Source organism: Homo sapiens, chromosome 13, assembly GCF_000001405.40.
Source record: "Homo sapiens chromosome 13, GRCh38.p14 Primary Assembly".
NCBI lineage: Eukaryota > Metazoa > Chordata > Mammalia > Primates > Hominidae > Homo > Homo sapiens.
The window spans coordinates 73,937,120-73,958,836 of NC_000013.11; the positions used below are offsets into that span (position 1 = coordinate 73,937,120).

At 38.0% G+C, this 21,717-nt stretch overlaps 1 protein-coding gene across 20 annotated transcripts in view, besides 3 other annotated features; it reads right to left on the reverse strand.

Annotated features, from left to right (window-relative positions):
* The window catches only part of KLF12 (KLF transcription factor 12), a 619,957-nt gene that overhangs the window by 251,031 nt on the left and 347,209 nt on the right, over nt 1–21,717 (reverse strand). For 14 of the 20 annotated variants that reach the window (NM_001400153.1, NM_001400139.1, XM_011534909.3 and 11 more), the window contains one exon: nt 6,862–6,951. The exons of 2 other annotated variants lie outside the window; for them this stretch is intronic. In NM_001400153.1, the coding sequence (NP_001387082.1) occupies nt 6,862–6,951 (90 nt within the window). Of the gene's footprint in view, nt 1–6,861; nt 6,952–7,971; nt 8,102–12,091; nt 12,116–15,142; nt 16,820–21,717 lie in introns of those variants that run through there. 4 more of the 20 variants (XM_047430083.1, XM_047430084.1, XM_011534910.3 and 1 more) reach the window with 3 other exon arrangements.
* Nucleotides 16,993–17,162: an enhancer, noted in NCBI's record as "experimental_33299 CRE fragment used in MPRA reporter constructs". NCBI's record gives its function as "activates a minimal promoter by MPRAs in K562 erythroleukemia cells, with activity observed for both the introgressed and non-introgressed 13:74528334 variant alleles {active_cell/tissue: K562}" and the evidence as "EXISTENCE:reporter gene assay evidence [ECO:0000049][PMID:34662402]".
* Nucleotides 18,732–18,901: an enhancer, noted in NCBI's record as "experimental_33300 CRE fragment used in MPRA reporter constructs". NCBI's record gives its function as "activates a minimal promoter by MPRAs in K562 erythroleukemia cells, with activity observed for the introgressed 13:74530073 variant allele {active_cell/tissue: K562}" and the evidence as "EXISTENCE:reporter gene assay evidence [ECO:0000049][PMID:34662402]".
* Nucleotides 18,949–19,118: an enhancer, noted in NCBI's record as "experimental_33301 CRE fragment used in MPRA reporter constructs". NCBI's record gives its function as "activates a minimal promoter by MPRAs in K562 erythroleukemia cells, with activity observed for the introgressed 13:74530290 variant allele {active_cell/tissue: K562}" and the evidence as "EXISTENCE:reporter gene assay evidence [ECO:0000049][PMID:34662402]".

A 21,717-nucleotide genomic window follows, 5' to 3' on the forward strand; every position in this document is an offset into this window, starting at 1 on the left:
GTGGAGCTTGCAGTGAGCTGAGATCGTGCCACTGTACTCCAGCCTGGCGACAGAGCGAGACTCCGTCTCAAAAAAAAATAAATAAATAAAAAAGGATATTTTTTGTGATGCACTTTATAAACTCTGAACCGGTATGCAAACATTAGCTCAAGAAAACACATCTACAGAGAAAACACGCTTGATGGTCCAGATTTTTTTAAAAAAATTCTTCCACAAAGACAAGGAGACAATGCAGACCATGATCTTGTAGAAGCTGAAATATTCTGGAAAGGTTAATTTGCCTGAAATCAAAATGCTCAAATCACTCAGAGTATTTAATTTCCTTAAGAAATATTCCTTTTTACAAAGCACTGACCCTATAAAAATGCAAATAACTCTAGGAAAGGGCACTTTACATTCTCTTCAACTAATGAGACTGTGGTTAGAACTGGTCATCTGTTGGTACCTTGAACCATTACAGCACCATCAGAGCGCAGGGACATCTGGATTGTGGGTGGCAGGAGAATTAAGTTGAAAGAGAAAGTACATTGCTAAAGGGAAGAAGGGCAGAATTCTCAACTTCATAGCTTTGCCCAGGGCAGGCCCTGAGGGAAAGGATTTGTCTGCCTGCTATATTTCCCTTGGGTACTATCTGTAATTACTATCACAGCTCATTGATTTTCAATTCCTTGTATTAATATATTTATTGGCCATTCTGACATTATTAAAATCAGTCTAACTCTGCATCTTTAGTGGAGGATACCTCTTCTTAAAATAGGAGTTTTGCAAGAGCAGATATTTCTTTCCGCTTAAAAAAAAAAATGGTCTTCTCACATTAGCCATAACACAGCAACTGCAAATGTTTTTCTTTGAAGCCAGGTAGTGACATGCAAAGATTTCACTACAGATCAAAAGATCTCAAGCAGCAGGTCATCAGAGAATATTAAATGATAAGCAAACTCGTATTTCCAAGATAATTCTACCAATTTAGTCAAACGCTGGCCCCTGTTCCACAGCAGGAGAGGGAATAATGAGCCCCTGGTTAAAGGGTAATGCAAGTGGCATTTTTAATAATGCCCTTTTTTCACTTCTGATAAAGTCATTAAAGTAACACTGTCTTACTACGCCTTTACGCACAGATGTACACTAGATCGTTAGTGTAAAATTAAATAGGTTTACTGAGGAAAAAAGTTAGGCTAATTGTTGGGTTTTTTCCCCCTAATGCTACTGAATTTTAATGTAATTTATTTCCTGCGTTAAGTAAACATTCCATAGCACATTTCCAGGTTCAGCTACAATACCTGCACCCGTCTATATTTCTTTATTAAGCCTAACGACTGGAGTCTTTTTCAAAAAAGCACCCGTCTCCAAATCCTCTCAATTCCAGTGTGGCAAACAGCCTCTCACTTACAACAAATAGCACATGAATGAATCACCACTTATTGAGCCCTGCCGATTCATAAGCTCCTGTGCTGAGATGATGAGGAATAACAAGAAACATAAAGCATAAGCTCTGCTCTTAAGGAAGTTACATTACAGCTGACTTCATGATGCTAGTCAGCTCTTGGTGATATAGGAATAGCTTCAACACCTTGTTATTAATGTCCTGCAGAATGGTTTCTAAGAGTTACTGCAAGCTGCCTCTAGGGAAAAGACTGAGTCTCCCTTATCCTCTTTTGTTCTGCCTCTAAAATGAGGGAGTGCATAGGAATCTCTGGTCTGGCCAAGGTGGATATTTCCTGGTAGTTAAGGCATGGAGTATTGACGTGATTCTATACTTGTCTGCGGCAATGCCTGCACCCTTTCTAGCTACATGGCTATGGCAAAGAGGCATCAGGCTCGCTTCCCCAAGGGTAACAGAAAGGAATCTGTCTTCCACTCAATTACTGACTGCTTAGAGCACTTAAAATGAGCAAAACACCCAATCTCTTTCCCTGTTTCTGCCGCACTATTGCCGCTCTTCTCTGCCGGCCCACGGATCAGAACTGTACCTGGTTCTACAGGAGAGAAGAGAGGCAGGATAACCAATGGCTTCAACACCCTTGCAGTTAGTGTAGACACTCAGGTCAGCTCCTTCCCCGCGGCAGATTCCTCAGACTTAGGAAATAAACAGTGAGGGTGACTAAGAAATGTTGCTTTCAGGTCTCCCTCTGAGTCCTCTGCACCTATGTAGTTTTCAAAAATATTTTTATTTAGAGAGCTCATCTTTTCTTTTTAAAACATTTTAATTTAAAGAATTTCAAATACACAAAATTAGGCAGAATAAACTATTTTCATTTTTTTGGTTCCATGATTCTGTTTTTATTCTGTTATTGACATTATTTTTTGTGTTCCATTATTTCACATAATAAACTCTAATCAGAATTTGAAACATTCTTCCAGATATCCTTAAATAAAAATTCAAATTAAAAAAAGAGTTCTAATTTCAGATCTACCTACCCTATGTCTACTTGGAGAATTATGAATTAACATAGATGTTGAAATCTCTACTAGATACTTCATGAGAATTGCAGCAACATAAACGAAAGTAATAGGGCCTTTTTCTCCTGTTTTTCTTCAAAAGAACACTGACTCAGTACCCACCAAAGGCAGGCAGGCTCCTGTGAAGATGGGTGGTTAATTCCATCTTCCAGGTGAGTAGGATTAAAGGAGAGAGACTAAGCATGACCCACACAGCTGGTACCAGGCTGAATACCATCTGAACTCAGGTCTTTCTCACTTTGAAGTCTGTGAATTTACACTTCCATACACAGGAAGCTTCACTGCAGTAAGACTCATAAATGCATAAACAGAAAGGCTCTGTCTCACCCCTTGCTCCTCACCAGGATCATAGAATGGCAGACTTCACCTGGGAGAGAAGCCCTCATCTCCAGCACCCCCACTGTATGGATGAGGGCATAGAGGCCTGGAGATAGAAAATAACTTCCCAATGTCATTCCAGCTGGTGAACTGCAGGGCCAGGAATAAAATCACATAGTATATCTCTGGGGCAGTATCCTCTATATACTACCTTATCTCTGGGTGTGATAGTTCTAATACTCTTCTTGTTTCAGTCCTTTGCTTAGTAACATGTTAGAACATCCAAAGGCTAACAGCATTTGGGAAGCTCTTGTAACAGCAGGACGCACGCACCAAAGTCACAGACAAAGTCATTCAAGCACTCCTTGCTGTGCCCCTGAAGCGTATCACAAGAGCACATGCCCTTCCTAGAGGCTGCCAGCAGCATGTGCTGTGTTACCGACAAGCAAGAAAACCGAAGTCACATTTCAGGTGACTGCAATAATTATCTACCTAGCTTTCACTTAACTAAAAATGCAAGAGTCAGAGAACTCCAAACAGAAGGCACACAGAGGTGGTGCCCATATGCTACCACACCTATCCGGTTCACATGGCTACGAGATGAGGACTCCTGTCACCAATGAGAATGCGTATTTCCAATATTTACAATTTTGATTTTTATGTTCACAATAACCCTATGACATAGAGCAGGTTGACAATTATCTATTGACTGGTTTTATATTTTTCACCATGCTAATTATAATGCCCAGACAAGCTGAATAAATAATGTATTCACCATGTGCCAGAAACTATAAGAGATACAAACCAGAAATATAAGAAATAGTCCTTGTCCTCTAGGAGTTTACACTCTGATTGAAGACACATGACCACATACACACAGCATAAATCTCATTAAGAGAATGAGGCAAGGCAGCCAGAACTTTTCACAGAAGAGATGCAGGCCTGTTCCCAGTCTGTCTTTAACCTCTGAAATGTGCTCCTCAGGTCCTGAATTCCTTGGAGGGGTGGGGAGACATGCAGAGCCCACCTGACAGCAGAAGACCTAAAGGACTCTTTCTAACACGCAGCAGAGAACAACTACATGCCTTTCTGGTGCACTGAAACACAAGGGCATGTAGAGTAGCATATCTTTAAAATGCTGTGTGCAGCCTGAGATAAATACCAACTTTTCTTCACCAAAAGATTGAGATTAGTATCTATTTCTTAAAGACAGAGTACCAAAACTAGGTTTTTCAGAGTGATTATACATTCCAACCAATGTACCACCTTCAGGCTTTCTTCAAGCTTTCTCATTCATTGTTGTGACACAGACAAGTTTCTATCGCTTTTTGTTCACTGTTAACTAACATGTCTCATCTTTTTCAAAAGTCCATAATCAGCTGGGCATGGTGGCACATGTCTATAACCCCAGCTACTTGAGAGGCTTATGCAGGAGGATCACTTGAACCCAAGACTTTGAGTCCAACCCGGGCAACATAGCAAGCAAAACTCTATGTCGTAAAAAATAGATAAATAAATGCCCATAATTATACATGTGAGTGTAATTATTTATTGAAATTTCACTAATGTGTTTTTCTTACAAAGAATTAAACTTCAACCAGCCTTTAAGTCATAAATGAGGAAGTCATGAAATATTCCAAATTCTGGCTCTCCTTATCTAAAAATAGTTCTAAGATTCTGAACATTATATGGTATATAACACCCAACGCATCTTCTCAATGAAAAACCCAGCAAAGTGGCCAAAAATGAAAGTCACCAAAATTCTAGACTTTGTTTCAAACAAGAGTTGATTTAAAGCATTACAAAATTGTTAAAATTATTGTATTCTAATAGAGTTAAATCATTATACATTTCATTAAACACTACAGGCTGATTCTCTTGAAGCTTTGCTACAAAAGAGAATGAAATTGTATCTGTCATATATTTAAGAGGTACACATAAACCCAAAGGAAAAAAAAAAGTTCTATTTCCCTCCAACATGCAGAATCTAAATAAGAGTTAAAATACCAACATCAGCTCCACTCACAAGGAGGAAAATCGATTTTCATGAACAGGCATTAGGCAATACCTATGAACCCACAACTTTTCATGTCCCTCTCTAAGGACAAAAAAAATGCTTTCTATAAATAATGTGACATGGAGTTCTTATTCACACTGCAAAACTGCTGGGAATAGTGGCTTTTGTTTTTTGTGCACCTAAATATTTCAGGTAGACCTTACCTTGAAACCAAAAAATAAAGGGGAAAGAACTATATGGATATTGTTAAAGATTACCAAGACTGGTGACAGCAACCCACGATCCTGGCTTTGACCATTGGTCTGGGGCTAAGTTTCTGACTGGTTTGCTATAGTTTTTGCCTTCCTCCAACATGCACAGTTTGAACAGATTGTTATTTCAAGTTGAAGAAATTATTGTGAAATGCAGACTGCTTTTTCACTTTTTTTTCCCATGAGCAGTGGGAAAAGGCTATCCTTTCTGAATGAGACGCCAGGCTCTATATGAGCTGAGCAGAAGTTTATTTTACTAAACTCATGATAATGCAACTAGATTAAGAAATGAATTAAGAAAACAGAACTCTAAAGAACTAAGACAAATCCTCCCCATGGTTAGGTTAATCAATAAAGGTTGAAACTATCTATAAGGTTTGGAAGGTATATACAATTTAACTTAGTGAATCCAGCTAGAAAATCCAGTTGAACACATGACTTTTTCTGAAAGGTTTTCTATACTGAACCAATGTTAGTAATTGCCACGGTCTTCTCCTTCATGATCCTCTACTGCCTGTGTCTTGGGCTGAATCTGTTATGAATTGGTCATTATATCATGTATAGGACTGTGGAGTCATGTTATTGGTTGACATACTCCACAAAGTTCATTTCAAAGCTACAAAACTCAACCCAGAACATAGAGGTGAAATGACATCCTCTACCACGATGAGGCTCTGTTCAAACACAGGCTTACACTGAAAAACAGAAATTATATTGAGATGCCACACAGCCTGCTATGTGATGCTCAGGTATGCAGAAGTTATTGAAGAGACCCTCTAAATACTACCATCTGGATCCATAACCTTGAATGTTCTCATTATGAAATCCTTTTGGGACATTAATATCCTAACCCTTTGAGTGGGATCCCGGATGTACTCATCCACATTGATTTTTATACTCTAACAGTGAGATTTTATTCACATTTAAAATTTCTTTTGAATGTTCAAGTACAAAACATTGCTAATTTTTAGTTATGATTTTTTAATAAGAGAGACACTGATAAGGTAAAGATTATATACGTATTTATGTCCTTCTATCAGTCACCTGTGCTGCCTCAGTGGTGGTGGTTTAATAAAATAAGTAGCCAACAGGCACTCAGCCACATGAGCAGCACTTTATCTCTTAAAGTTGCCAATGCTGCAACCAATTATCCTGCACTTATGCTCTTAACTAAACCAGTGAAGCCATAAATGTTCATTATAAAATCTATGTCATTAAAAAAATATGCACTCATAGTCCTTGTATTTTCAGTACCCATAAATGAATTCATTGGTTTGGCTATGTACTGTTAAATAATCTTTCTTTCGCTTTTAGAAATTTTTCAAATTCAGTGACCTCATCAACTATCCCCTAGTACTCCTACAGTAAGAAAGGGCAAGTACAAATGTCAAAAGAGAAACCCATCCAACAAACAGTAACATTCTCATAGCGGTACTTTGTCATTTCCTGATTAGAATCAACCAAACTATGATGACACTGAGGTTATAGTCCCACCTTATTTTTTAATACTTCCTCTTTGCTTTGGATTTTTATTAGCTTTTCAAATCATTTACCAATTTAGATATAGCCATATGGTTCTAATAATGTCACTATGCCTTCCAAATTTTAGGATACTATCCCTTCCAAGGAAATAATAGTTGAAGTTGCAAATGGGTACAGATCAACCACAATCTCAGATTTTTGTTTGTTTTAACCTGAGAGAGAAAAGCTTAAGCAAGGGAAACCGTAGAAGTGCTCTGCAAACCTCAGGATGCTCTGCAGAAGAATGCCACTCTCATCAAAAGGAGTGGGGCATTGCTGGAAACTTGTGCTTACCCCTTGTTCAGATTCCAAAAGCTCTGTTTTGACTCTGACTGCCGGCATCCCATCAAGCATTAACATTCTGTTCTCAAAGGTGTTGATATTCTGAGAATAGAAGGGAGAGAGAAAGATTCAGCTCTAAAGCATTCAAAAGAGGACCTCTGGGAGAGTCTTCCCTCATTGTAGTACATTTAGTATTGCTAACCTAATTTTTTAAACAATAAAGAATAATTAAATGAAAATATCAGCATAACCAATTATCCCCCTACTCTGAACTTTCATTTGAAATAATGACCAAGCAGTTGAATTAAGCAGTCTGATTCTCTGACCTCTGGGTTGGAGGTCAGACTGTAATAAACTGGAGTATGGAAACCTTACGTTAATTTATATGGGGCTGCAACAATTCATCACACTTTCACAATAGTGGAAGGAAACAGAAGGCAAGTTTTTCTCTTCCCTTAGTTCTGGAAATTGCATTGTGCAAAGATATCCATAAAGGAGAAAATCACATAAAAATTTATAAACTCTCATATTAGTCAAAGCCTAAATCATTTAAAATCAATATAATTCCATACATTTAATTTTTATGTCATGGCAATTCTGGTCAAATGAAAATTTCTACCTATCAACCTCCAAATATCTACTTTAAAAACAACCAACATAAATCTTAGATTAAGAGTGAATTTTTAGGCTAAACTAAATAACAAACAATTATTTGGTCTTTATTCTGGTATATGTTTTGCTCAATTTACCACCTCTTGAAAAGAAAATCTTATCTATATTGTAGCTCAATAACATTTCAAACACCATTTATAAAAGATTAAATCAAGGTTATTTTCTACGTAATTGTCACCGCCTTGGGGATTTTCTACAGTCAGCAACCCAGGAAGGGAGTCAGAATCACACTTCAGTGCTCGCCTAAGGCCCAAATCAGGCTCATATTTTTAAACATGTTTAGAATGCTAATTTCTCTGTTACATATTGACTCAACTACAAATCTGACAGAACTAAATTTGATTGAGATTTTAGAATGGTTATTTTTACTTAATTACAGAATGTAACCACAGGACACTAAAGTAGTCTTATTAAGAGAAAAAAAAATCAGTTTCTAAATATTTTGCCTACCTGGTGAAAAAGATAAGTATAATTTCTAAATCTTCAGGTGTTCACCTTTAATATGGTTGCTTTCCTACAAAATAGCAGGTTAAATAAGAACAACTGGGCCAGGCACAGTGGCTCACGCCTGTAACCCCAGCACTTTGGGAGGCTGAGGCGGGTGGATCACCTGAGGTCAGGAGTTCGAGACCAGCCTGGCCAACACGGTGAAACCCCGTCTCTACTAAAAATACAAAAATTAGCTGGGCGTGGTGGCAGGCACCTGTAATCCAAGCTACTCGGGAGGCTGAGGCAAGAGAATTACTTGAACCTTGGAGGTGGAGGTTGCAGTGAGCCGAGATCACGCCATTGCACTCCAGCCTGGGGAACAAGAGTGAAACTCCATCTCAAAAATAAATAAATAAAAACGACTCTCCTTTCAACAAATCATAAATTACATGTTCTTATTACCAAATAATACCAACAGAGTGCAGTATAGTGAAACTATTTCTCATATTTCTTGACTCTTCTTTTTGTTAAGAAAAATGTTCCAAGAAATAAAACATACAGAGCCTCCAAGGAATCAACAAAAAAAAAGCAAATTTACTCTGGAGTTAATGAGCATTTAAAAAGTCTACACCACCTAGTCTATAAGGTGATAAAAAGAAGAAAACAAATTACTGTCAATATTATTTCCCCATAAATGTTCAATATTTTCAAAACTGGCAGGATACTTTTTAAAAATGTTTGCTTTTGACTTGTCCCTTTTTTCAGAATTTTATATCTTAATAGATAATTTAGAGCAGAAGGAACTGTGGTATATTACTGGTGAGCTTGGGTGAGTTGTTCTAAACTTGAAACCCTTTCATGGAGGCCTGTGGGTTGTTTTCACATGGGGCAGGGATCTCAAATCCTAATGTGTCACTGGCTTCCGAGGTTGGCAGCAGCCAGCTTGGCTTACCACCATCCAGTCTCAGGAAAGCCTTCCTGCAGCCGGCCAGCCCTCGACTCTCCGGAGTCTGGCAGCAGCTCTAGGAATCCACCTTAACAAAGCACCCTGTAGGCTGTTTGGCTGGTAGACAATGAAGGATGAGCTGATATTGCTTCCTACCCTGGAGGAGTTCTTGCCCAGATGAGAAGGCAAGAAGATGCCTTATAAGGAAGGCCCAAGCAAAAGAGGAGAAAAGACAAAGAGCGATTCTGGAAAAGCAGATTTAATGAACTGTTAGAATCTGATTAGAGGCTAATGTCCCTTTTAGTGCTTTGTACCAATTTACAGCTGATATACTTTAACCATTTTCCCCACTGGCTGTGATAAACTCATTAGTTTAAAAAATGGAAGCTAACCAGAGTCTTTGAAGTTAAAAACTGATAAATCATAAAAACCTGACTGGGTCTGTGTTCCACTTAACACATTTAAGTATCACTATATATTCATGATGGTTTTTCTTTAAATTTATATTGTTCTTGAATAATTCTACATGCAATAAAGTCAAGATGTACGGTTTAGTTTCACGTACAAGTGAAAAAAATAAAACATTCTCGATTTTTTTAAGAAATCAAGATTTCCTGGAAATCTTTCTATGATTTTCTAGAATCATTCACAGCCACAACTATAATAAACACCATAAATAACAATGTTCACAGCTGGGGAACTAAGCTTCAACTGTTAAACTCTTTCAACTAGTGCAGATTCAATCTGTATATATGCCTGTTGCAAACACATGTGAAGCATATTCAACTCTGCATTCACGGATCTAACCTCAATCCTCATAAACAAAAGCGTTCAGTATCACAGCATGCTCCAAACTATCTAGGAAGGTGTGTGATTTTTATACAACACATGGTAATTACACAGCATTGACAATACAGTCCTTGAAGCAAAATATTGATAGATGTATCTCACTGAACTAAGATCAGATACATATAATCTCAGATGAATGTAGACTTTAAATATGTACTAGATTCTAATAATCTGGAACTGCTGTCAAACATATCTTGCCATGATCTTAATCAAAACACATTTGCTGTGGAATCAATAGCTCAACTGATTCCTAAGAGATGAATAAAATTACAGTTATCAATTTTAGTAATGTAGTATTCTTTGTATATTTATAACAAACATTTTGATGTTACACAACCCTCAAGAAATACTTTATGTATGCTTATACACTTGTTTCATGAGTGAATTGTTTGAATTAATGAAAAATCATCCATAGAATTTGTTAGTTGGCTGTTGACCAATTCCATGTGCACGGGATGAGAAGGATAATCTTGATATCCCATTTACCAAATATGAATTGGCAATGGCCGGGCGTGGTGGCTCACTCTTGTAATCACAACACTTTGGGAGGCTGAGGTGGGCAGGTAACTTGAGCTCAGGAGTTTGAGACCAGCCTGGCCAACATAGTCAAACTCTGTCTCTACAAAAAATACAAAAATTAGCCAGGCATTGTGGTGGGCGCCTGTAGTATCAGCTACTGAGGAGGCTGAGGCAGAAGAATCGCTTGAACCCGGGAGGCAGAGGTTGCTGTGAGCCAAGATGGTGCCACTGCACTCCAGCCTGAGCGACAGAGGGAGACGGTCTCAAAAAAAAAAAAAAAAAAAAGAGTTGGCAACACAGTAGTCGAGCTGACATTCGCTCTCCCTGTCAAAAACCATATAATCACAACAGTCGTTGATCCCAACATCTCAAAATATTCTGAATGTAATGTGCAGCAAGGAAACGGACTGATCTTCAATGACCAGAACTCATAAAAACATACAATGGGGTGACTTTCCAGGTCAACTCCTACAATGTGCCCTCCTAACCTCCCAAGGCAGGTCATTTCCTTTCTCTCCTCCTGACCTTGACTCATTTTGCACAAATGGAGTAATAAGGAGCTAGCTAGGCAATACTCAACAGTTCTAAGCTTTTAAACAAGGGTTCCTGTCATAAGTCAAAAATAACTGCTGCTATTTGTTTTGCTCTTTGTAAATACAGGAAATATGATATTTTATTGAAATACACATCCACTTTAAATCTTCACGTTCAGCTACAGGTGATGAGAAATAAGAATATGTCGCCCCTGCCCCACATCTACATTATGCTAGACAGTGATGTAAGGGACATATGAACAGTCAAGATTCACTGCACCAAGTTGGTTGGGACACTTTCATAGCAGATTCTTTTTTTTTTTGAGACAGAGTCCCACTCTATCACCCAGGCTGGAGTGCAGTGACACGATCTCAGCTTACTGCAATCTCTGCCTCCCAGGGTCAAGCAATTCTTGTGCCTCAGCATCCCAAGCAGTTGGGATTACAGGCATGCGCCACCACGCCTAATTTTTTCTATTTTTTGTAGAGACGGGGTTTCACCTTGTTGGCTAGCCTGTTCTCGAACTCCCGGCCTCAAGTGATCCATCTGCCTTGGCCTCCCAAAGTGCTGGGAATACAGGCATGAGCCACCAGGATGGCATAGCAGATTCTTAAAGGTTTGCAATGCAAGAGTGCCAACTGGTTAAAAGTAACATCCTGTGGGTACCTCTTCCTATAGAAAAAGTATCAGAATCAGATTACAGGGCAATTAGGGGTTTGCATAAAAAAGATTTCTTAGAGAATTCAACTTCTCTCACTTCTACCCTAACAACCACAAACACCAATAACAGCAATTTTTTTCAAGTCCTATTGCAGATGTGCCAGTTCCACTAACAGGTTAACAACTAATTGCAAAACCTTTGCTTATATACAAGCACATTAGTGAATTCCTCCCTCTCTCTGGGTAAGGGTTAACAAACCTAATAGATTGAAATCATGTTTAGGTAATTATTTCAGTTGTCTACTGCCATGCAACAAATCACACAGTGGCATGAAGCAACAGTCATTTTGTCATTATCTTGGTAACAAAAATAATACAGATATTTGCATATTTACTGTGAGCCAGATCATGTGCCAAGAGCTGTGCATATAGCTGCTCATCTAATCCTCACTGCAACCCAAGAGGTTGATGCTGTATTATCTGATGTTGAGGCATCTGAGACATAAGGAGGTTAAATTGCCCAAGCCCACACAATTAGTAAGCAATACAGCTGTATTGAAAACCAGTGAGTGTGACCCCAAGCCAGCACTCTTAATCACCATACTCTATGTACCTACCTGTCCACTCACTTACCTTTCTCTATATCAATATGCACTCCTAATACAATAGAAAAAAAATATGAACACCTTATTGAAGGTCCCAACAGAGACATTGTGGAATCTCAGTAACAGCTCCTCCCTGAGCTGGGCTAATTTAGCTATGGAACTAAATGTGAAACTTGTGGTCACTGGTGAGTAGCAACGATTTGGAGAATCAGTCTCTGGTTTCAAAGCTATTTCAAAGCTATTAATATTTTTTTTCCCTTTAAGTCAAGTTTTCCACATATTTTCTTAACTTGATGAGATTATATGTTTCTATCCTAGGAAGATCTCATAATTAATTTAGCCAGTAACTTCATTTGCTACCCAGCTTTTAAAAAATATTCTTGCCTTTGGTGGCTCACTCAGTATTTTCAAAATGGTTTCATGGCCTTCAATGAAACGCTAACTTCACCTTCTACATTTTATACTCAGGACAGATGCCTCTCAGCATTACATTTAATTTATAATGGCTAAGTGTAAAAACATCCTTTTCTCTACTCACATATCCTCATGCTGATAACTCAGTTTCATAGAGGGCATATAACTAATCAAAGTACCAGAAGTGGGACAAAATAAACATCCCTTCAAACACAGACTTTGCCATTCTAGCCCAGCCTTTCATCTTACATTCTTTTGCATCTTAGGAGAATGGATATCAATGTCAATAACTGTATTTTATTAACAGAAATAAGAGCCAAAACCATAGGCCTATTGGGACTCTCAACTAAAATCCCCCATATGTTTCAATGATCCAAATTACATTCTTCTGAAATATTTGTCTTCGGTTTCAAAAACAGAATCCTTCCATTAAAATCCTCACATTGAAGCATATGGAACAGTATCTCTCCTAAAGACTGGTAAAACTGTCTATGTAATGCAGCAATTTTTAATTTCCTGATAGCAATTATCAGTCTGTTTCCTATGTTGGTAAAGTGCCAAGCTATCACAACAATGTGCAGTTTATACTAATATTTTAAAAAATATTTCCTATTAGTGATAGTTGCTGAACTAGCCATGAAAAGCAGATGTTCTTATTCAAGTTGCAAATGGATGCTTTTCAAAAGGGCAACCAATCCAATCCAAACTGGGAGCCAAAATTTACTATTGGCATTTCCAAAGGCCTCAATACATTTTTAAGGATTACAACAGATGCATGCCTACTTTCCTTTGTTCATTGGGCAGAGGATGGTTAAAATGACATCTGAGCTTCCGAATAACACTTTTCACCCCAGCATTTACACAAATTGTACTAGAAAAGTATTTCTGTCATTCATACTCTGAAAAACTGCACACACTTGGGGGTTGTGAGTTGGCTAAATCTTTCCTTAAATATTCAGTGAGGGCCTCTACTTGCCCGTCATTCCATTCCATCTGCACCACAGTCATGAACCATGGATAAGAGGAGTGTTCAGAAAGCAAGAAAACATCATGGCAAGAGAAGTATTAACCTACCACCAACCAATCCCTAGAGAAGGAGGACAAAACTTCAGTTCAGCTGAACAGGTATTAACATTATGAGGAGAGATCTGACATGTGGAGGCAGGTATTAGGGTAGAGATGGACTTACAAGTGGGTTTGATGTCAGGTAAAGAAAAGAATTGACTTCAGTCCTGGAAAAGGAAGCCAGAAACAAGATCCTTTCTGGGAGATGAGGCTAGCAGAAACTAATGCTCAGGACCTACCCACAACAGTCCAGAGCTAGGAAACAGGAGTAGAGAGAAACCAGAAAGCTGGCTGGGTGCTCCAGTCCATGATGCCAGGCCTCCTTCCCTGGGCACATGCTTGGACACAGAAGCCAGGCACCATGAGCCTGGGCAGAAGTGCCAATGCAGCAGGCAGGCCTCATAGACGATCAAGAAGTACATTTGCAATACAACCACAATATCCTCACAAGTTTCCCTAATTTTACAAATTATGATAACAGTTATAATAACAATAACATTTATTCAACACATGTACCAGGGGTTGTTTCATGTGCTTTACATTCATTGCATCATTCATACATTGATTCATTCCCAATATACTTATTGAAGGCCAGTCACTGTTCCAGTTATTTATGATATATCAGTGGGCAAAAAAGAGAAAGTTCTGTGGAGTTTCATTCCAGTCATTTAATCGCACATCAACTTTTTTTAACTACGGCTATTTTAGATGAGAAAATTATTAAAGTTTGGAGAGATTATATAATCTGTCCAAGATTATGAAAATGACAATGAGTCTAAATTCAGGATGACAATCTATTGTTCATTGCTTCCAGAGATAGAGATCCTCAAAGCACAGGGTACTTTGGCACTGCTACAAAGCTGTGTAAGCCTAGAACTGTGCAAGCAACTCTGGCTAGTGGGTTTCAGGCTCCTGATATATCAAGAGACCAAGTACCACGGCTGAGGTGGAAGCAGCAAGGCAAAGGCAAACTGATCCCATATACAATGGAGAGGAGAGCTCTAAGCTCATTCTAAAGTTCTTGCCCTGACCTACAGCAGGTGCCTCTAACCACTTCCCCAACCCCATTGTCCACCATTCTGTTCAGGCTACATCTTGACCATATCAAAAATGCTCCTCCCTCCAGGACTATGTGCATTCTATTCCATCACAGTATTCACCACTACCTGACAGACTCTTTATATGCCATTACACTAGAACATAAGTTCCAGGAGGACAGAGAGTTCTCTTTTTGTTCGTAACAGTACTCCTATCCTAGCCTTGAAACTTACACCATTAAGTAAATAAATATCTGTTGGACTAATAAAAAAATATAAGATCCAATCATTCTCCAGGATCTAGGAGATAAGCTTGTTGTTGACAGATGGGATGAGCATAGGCAAAATCTTAAAGAGATATGAAATTCCCCATATTGGTGAACAATAAAACAGAATTTGGCATGGCTAAAACATAATGTTCATTGGAGAAGTAACTAGAGAAAAGACCAGAAAAGTTACTTGGAGTCAGGTCATGAAGGGTTGTATCAGTCCCTTCTTGCATTGCTCTAAAGAACTACCGGATACCAGGTAATTTATAAAGAAATGAGGTTTAACTGACTCACAGTTCCACAGGCTTGTACACGAAGCATGGCTGAGGAGGCCTCAGGAAACTTACAATCATGGCAGAAGGCGAAGAGGAAGGAGGCACATCTTACATGGCTGGAGCAGAGGAAGAGAGCGAAGGGGGAGTTGCTACACACTTTCAAACAACCAGATCTCCTGAGAACTCACTCACAAGACAGCAGTAGGGCAGTGGTGCTAAATCATTAGAAACTGCCCCCATGATCCAATCACCTCCCATCAGGCCCCACCTTCAACAATAAGGTTAAAATTTGACATGAGATTTGAGTGGAGACACAGAGCCGAGCCATATCAAGCTTCTTATATGTTATGGTAATTCATTTCTTCAAAAATGTTTCTGTAATGCCTGTTGGGTGCTACTTGCTAGGGGTGCAAGTGAACAAGACGGAAAGGCTCCCTGCCTTAAGACAGCTTGACGTAAAAGGGGAAGAAAAGTGTATGGGCATCACATAACAGGTGGTGACGAGTCATGAAGGCTTATTAAGCAAAAGCTAAGTTTAAGCGTTGTTTACAGAAAGACAGGACTAGAAGCAATTTGGAAGCTGACTTACAAAGATGTCTGATGTGATACAAGAGAAACTGCAGCCAGCTCACAGCCCACCACAACAGGACATGGGAAGAGGTGGTGAGGTCACAGTGGCAGTGGGAAGAAAGAGGAGGAAAAATATTTGAGAGACAGTTCAGAGCTGTACAGCCTTTGATGACTGAGATGAAGGAAGTGCTGGTGGTAAGAAAGAGCTGGGAGAAGAGTGTCAAGAATGACAAAGATTTTTCTAGATTTTCCACTAAGGTTAAGACAGGAAACCAAATAGGAAAAGAAAACCATGTCACAATCCTCCTATATCCCTCAAAGGACCTACTACATTCTGGGATACATGAATATCTGGGTATAGTATTTAATTTCAATATATTTTGCTTACCTAAAATCTGTTACACAGAGGGAAAGATTTCTCTTAAGCTGCGCAGGTTCAAATCATATAAAAAAGACTAATAAAGTCAAATTTATCCAAACATGGAAATACAAGTTTGGTTAAAATTAAAAAAAAAAATGCTATCAACCAATCCTCTGATTAGCCACATTTTCAAAAAAAATTTACTACCATTTTATTCTACAAACTCATGGTTATCAAAACCAAAAAACAAAATACAAATTGCTATTTGCCAAAGTAGAAGTTTGAGTACTGTACATTAACATATTCATTGGTCATTTCCCTTTATGAAAAGTTGTTTGAATAGTAATGAAAAAAACATTCACAACACTGAAGGGAGTATGTAATGAAATAACATCACTGGTCTTTTGTGTCAAGAGAAAATGAAGATTACTATTAAGTATTAAGTCATATATTTTCTGTGGGAAACAAAGGAAATAATTATTGACCTAAATTTCCACCTTTTCTTGTGTACAATGATTTCAAGTTGCTCCTTATCAAACCCAAAATGGATTAACTTTCTACAACATGGATCAGTGAGTGTTTAGCTCCTGCATAGCCTGGAAAAAAATAGTGCTGAAGAGTTGGGAAAAATAAAAGAATGTATAGGAATAATAAAAATCCAAGTTAAGTTTTTAAAGTGTGACCATTCCAATGAAAACAAGAAAGAGCAAGCAACCTTAATTTTTTCTTTGGCAGCCAGAAAAATGTGCACACTGCTAAACAAGTAAACTAAGTAATTAGGTTTTGTTTTTTCTTTCTTTTTTTTTTTTTTTTTTTTTTTTTTGAGACGGAGTCTCACTCTGTTGCCCAGGCTAGAGTGCAGTGACGTGATCTCGGCTCACTGCAAGCTCCACCTCCCGGGTTCACACCATTCTCCTGCCTCAGTCTCCGGAGCAGCTGGGACTACAGGCACCCGCCACCACGCCTGGCTAATTTTTTGTATTTTTAGTAGAGGCGGGGTTTCACCATGTTAGCCAGGATGGTCTCGGTCTCCTGACTTTGTGATCCGCCCACCTGGGCCTCCCAAAGTGCTGGGATTACAGACGAAACCCACCGCACCCAGCCCGGTTTTGTCTTTTTCTAAGAATCTACATTCATTCTCTTCATATATTTGTAATTTAAATATTTAGTTAAAACTTTGTGCTTATATGTAATTTTATCTTCCTCTGAAAACCTTGAGCATGGTATTGGTTTCTAGTGGAATGTATGTTTCCAAAAAAAAGTGAGGCAGAAAAAATGATCTTTAGATTTTTACTTCATCCAAGAAAGGTTATCAAAGCACATAAAAGCATGACGTAGTGTTTGCCTTGTTATTACAAGGTATAACAAAAGTAGTTAGGACTAAAAGATTATTTCAATACTAACTAAGTTGTAGCAGTTTGCATTGTCTAGACAGTCATGTCAGACACCTAACAAGAATGGCCATGCCTTTCCTCTTTTTCCCACCAACACTCTGGATGCTCACAATGCAGAGAAGAAAGATATCTTGCATTTCTATGGCCAAATGCATACACTTGACCCAATATATAATCTATCAATTTTTCAAGAATATCCACTTCCAAGTTAAGATTTTTCCAGATTTCCCAAATGATGTCTTTAGTTATATTAAATTTTACGTATAATCCAATTACTGTACTAATTTGACATTTTTATTGGCAATGCTGTTAAATATCTAATTCATTTCACCCAAATATCCCCAAGAATTCTGTACACTTTCATTATTGCATAGAGTACAAGTTAGAATAGGACATTGCCTTGGAGCATGGGCCTGATGATCAGACTTCCTGGTTTAGTCTCTACCATGTATATAAGTCCAGGTGTATGAGACTTTCTTCTGGTTTCAGTTTTCTTATCTGTAAAGTGCTGATAAATTTCTGCTTCATATAATTTTTTTAAGACTTCAAAGAGGCAATGTATATAAACTGCTTAGCACATAATGTCTTTTACAAATGTTAATAGGTAATATTTAAATAATTATAATTAGTAATAGCAGTAATAGTGGTATTTCACTTATTCTTCCCAAACTGATTTTTAGAATGGGTGTACTAACCTGATTTTCTTTGACTCTTTGCAGAAACCACTAAGTTTTGTGTGTTATATTCTTTATAAAACTATTACATAACTAAAACAGAAATGTTAAGAGTTGTTTTTTATAAATGATGACAGGAATTGACAGAAAACTAACCCACACAATTAATACATAATTGTGGAATACATTAATATATAATTATGGTAAATGGCAGCAATGAATTATTTTATCTGTTTAAAACTGTGACGATGTACACACCGATTACACAGAAATACAAGTCACTTCATCCTAATGAGGACATCTAATGTTTTCTGACTACTAAAGACAACCATGAAGTGTCTGATAGTGCTTCCTAGCAAGCAAATTCTATATTTGACATAGTGCTAAATAAAAAGCTTTACTGGTTCTCCTTTATGTGATTATCCAGAAATATACTGTTTAAGAGAAAGACATTTATTACTGAACGTATTTAACAAACAGATTACTGGAGAAGTTATCCACAAAGTGGCCTGTAATTTGAGCCCTGGAAAACTTTCAAAATTACTTGAGGAAATCAAAAGAACTACAAAGGAAATAAGTTGCTAAATTTCAAAATTAGCCTGCATTTAGGGCAATATGAAGTCAGCAATACCAACACCTCTGTGCCATTACACATGTTCCTGTCATCACCCTGACGATGTTCTTTCCCCACCTCCGCTTTTCCACATTTTACCAACCATGCTTGTCTCTTCTTGGAATTTCTGTAGGATGTACATGCATGTACATAAATAAATTAAATCCAGCATTCTTTTTTCCTTTCTGGAGTATTTCTCCAATTCTAAAACGTACCACAATAAAGTCATAAAGGAAACAAAATTCATTCAACAGAAATTTGGAATACATTTTTAAATTAAGGAATTATATAACTGCACAGCATTTACTCAGGCCTTGTTACTTCCTGCCAGCCTCTTAATAAGCATGACCCATAAAAATAGAAACAGTATAATTTTGAATAACTGAATAACTTATCATACCCAGGAAGTTTCTATTACCCTCTTTTGCTATTTGATGCTGAATATGGCTAAAATAAATGTTGCCAATAGAGAGAGTATATTTGAGGAAGTCCATTGTTGTAACTCACATATTCTTTGAGACCAGGGTTTCTTGACATCTGCACTACAGACATTTACACCAGATAAGTCTTTCTTGTCCGGGCTGTCCTGTACATTGTAGGATGCTTAGCAGCATCCTTGGCTTCTGCCACTATATCCCAGTAACATCCCCTCAGTTGTAACCATCAAAAATGCCTTCAGAAATAGCCAAATGTTGCAGAGGAGAGGTAGTAAAGCAGCCCATTTCAGAACCACTGTTTTATAATTGCTGATTCTATGAACTCATTAGAAAAGAACCTTAATTTTGTCCAGGCATGCTGGGTCACATCTGTAATCCCAGCACCTTGGGAGGCCAAGGCAGGAGGACTGCTTGAGCCCAGGAGTTTCAGACCAGCCCTGGCAACATAGCAAGACCCCATCTCTACAAAAAATAACAATAAAAAAAACTAGACGGTCATGGTGGTGTGCACCTATAGTCCCAGCTAATCAGGCTTAAGTGAAATGATCACTTGAGCCTGGGAGGTCGAGGCTATGACCCATAATTGTTCCACTGCACTCCAGTCTGGGCAACAGAGTAAGGCCCTGTGAAAGAAAGGAAGGAAAGAAAGGGAGGGAAGGGAAGGAAAAAAGGGAAAGGAAAGGAGGGAAAGGAGGGAAGGGAAAGGAGGGAAAGGAAAGGAAAAGAAAGGAAAGGAAAGGAAAGGAAAGGAAAGGAAAGGAAAGGAAAGGAAAGGAAAGGAAAGGAAAGGAAAGGAAAGGAAAGGAAAGGAAAGAAAGGAAAAGAAAGAAAAGGAAAGGAGGAAGGAAGGAACCTTAATTTTATGTTGAATTATACTTCCCAATAAAATAATACCTCAATATTGAAAGAAAATAACACCTGATATAAAAATCATACTTATAATTTGCTTCAGAATATATCTGCTGGGAAATTAGCAATACTTTAAAAGATAATTTTATTATTTTCCTTAAATTCCTTCTATCCTTTCTGCATATCCAAGTTTCTCCAACAAACAAGTGCAAAGATCCCAGAAAAGGGCTGCAAATTTGCTTATTAGTTCAAGCAATGGAAACTGAAAGAAACCTGAAGATTTCAATATTAATATAACAACTAAGGAAATCTCTCTGGCCCCATTCTTAGACATGGCCAATGAGGATCTACTAAATTAGCCTCAGAAGTCTCCAAAGTAACTACAATTACCCAAATTAATATGGTGACTTAACTTTCAACAGGGAACTAGAAGACAGAGTTTTATCCTTGGCTCTACATCAGATTGGCTGGATAAGATCTTTAGATTTTGCATTCCTTCACAAAAACAAAGAGTGACCCCTGTATCAAGAACAAAATATTTCACAATATGAACTGAAATATAAACCTGTTTATATTTTATTAATTTTGTTAGAAAAAAGTGACATAAAATTTAATATATCCTTGTGGTTGTTCCATCTAGTTTCTGTGAAGAACAATAAAAATGATCACAAGTTATGTAAATAAATTGCTAAAGAAACGAGGGAAGGGTGCTCTTTATAAAAAATTAAAAGATACGCTGGGCAGTAGGGCAAGAAACACAGGTTTAAACGTTGGATCCTTTCTAGAAGATCGTACTGTTGATTCACAGGAATAAAAGAGGGAATTGGTTTTAGAAGACAGGAGATATGCAGAAAAGCAAACCACAAATTCACTTCTTTTCGCACATGCAGTTTTGTTGCACCGTCTATATCTGTGCTGTCTGGGTAGCCACTTGTTGCAACTACTGAGCAGCTGAGACATGACTAGTCCAAATTTAGATGTATGCAAAAAGCATATTGGATTTTGAAGACTTAGTATAAAAAATAGAATTTAGCATGTCTCATAATTTTTGAATTAATTACATGTTGAATGGTATTTTGATTACACTGGGTTAATTTTTTTTAACTTTTTTTTTTTCTTTTGAGACACAGTCTCACTCTGTCGCCCAGGCTGGAGTGCAGTGGTGCGATCTCGGCTCACTGCAGCCTCCGCCTCCTGGGTTCAAGTGATTCTACTGCCTCAACCTCCCGAGTAGCTGGGATACAGGCACACACCACCATGCCTGGCTAATTTTTGTATATTTAGTAGAGACAGGGTTTCACCATGTTGACCAGGCTGGACTTGAACTCCTGACATAAGGTGATCTGCCCGCCTCAGCCTCCCAAAGTGCTGGAATTACAGGCGTGAGCCACTGTGCCCAGCCAATTTTTTTTTTTAAACTTGTAAAATGTCTACTAGAAAACAAAAATCATAACTTCTTTTAGTGTCTACTAGAGTACTGAAGATTACATATGTGGATTGTATTCTATATCTCTTGGACAAAGCTGTTCTACATTATCATGTCAGTGGCTCTCACACTGAATTGGTACCATGATCTTACCTGTAGTTTCCACCCAATCTTTCTGGAAATTGAAAGGTGGCGGGGAGTGGGAAGTTTTGAATGTCATAAAATTGGAAGAATGCCACTTTCCTTTATCACCCAGAAGCTAGAGATGTT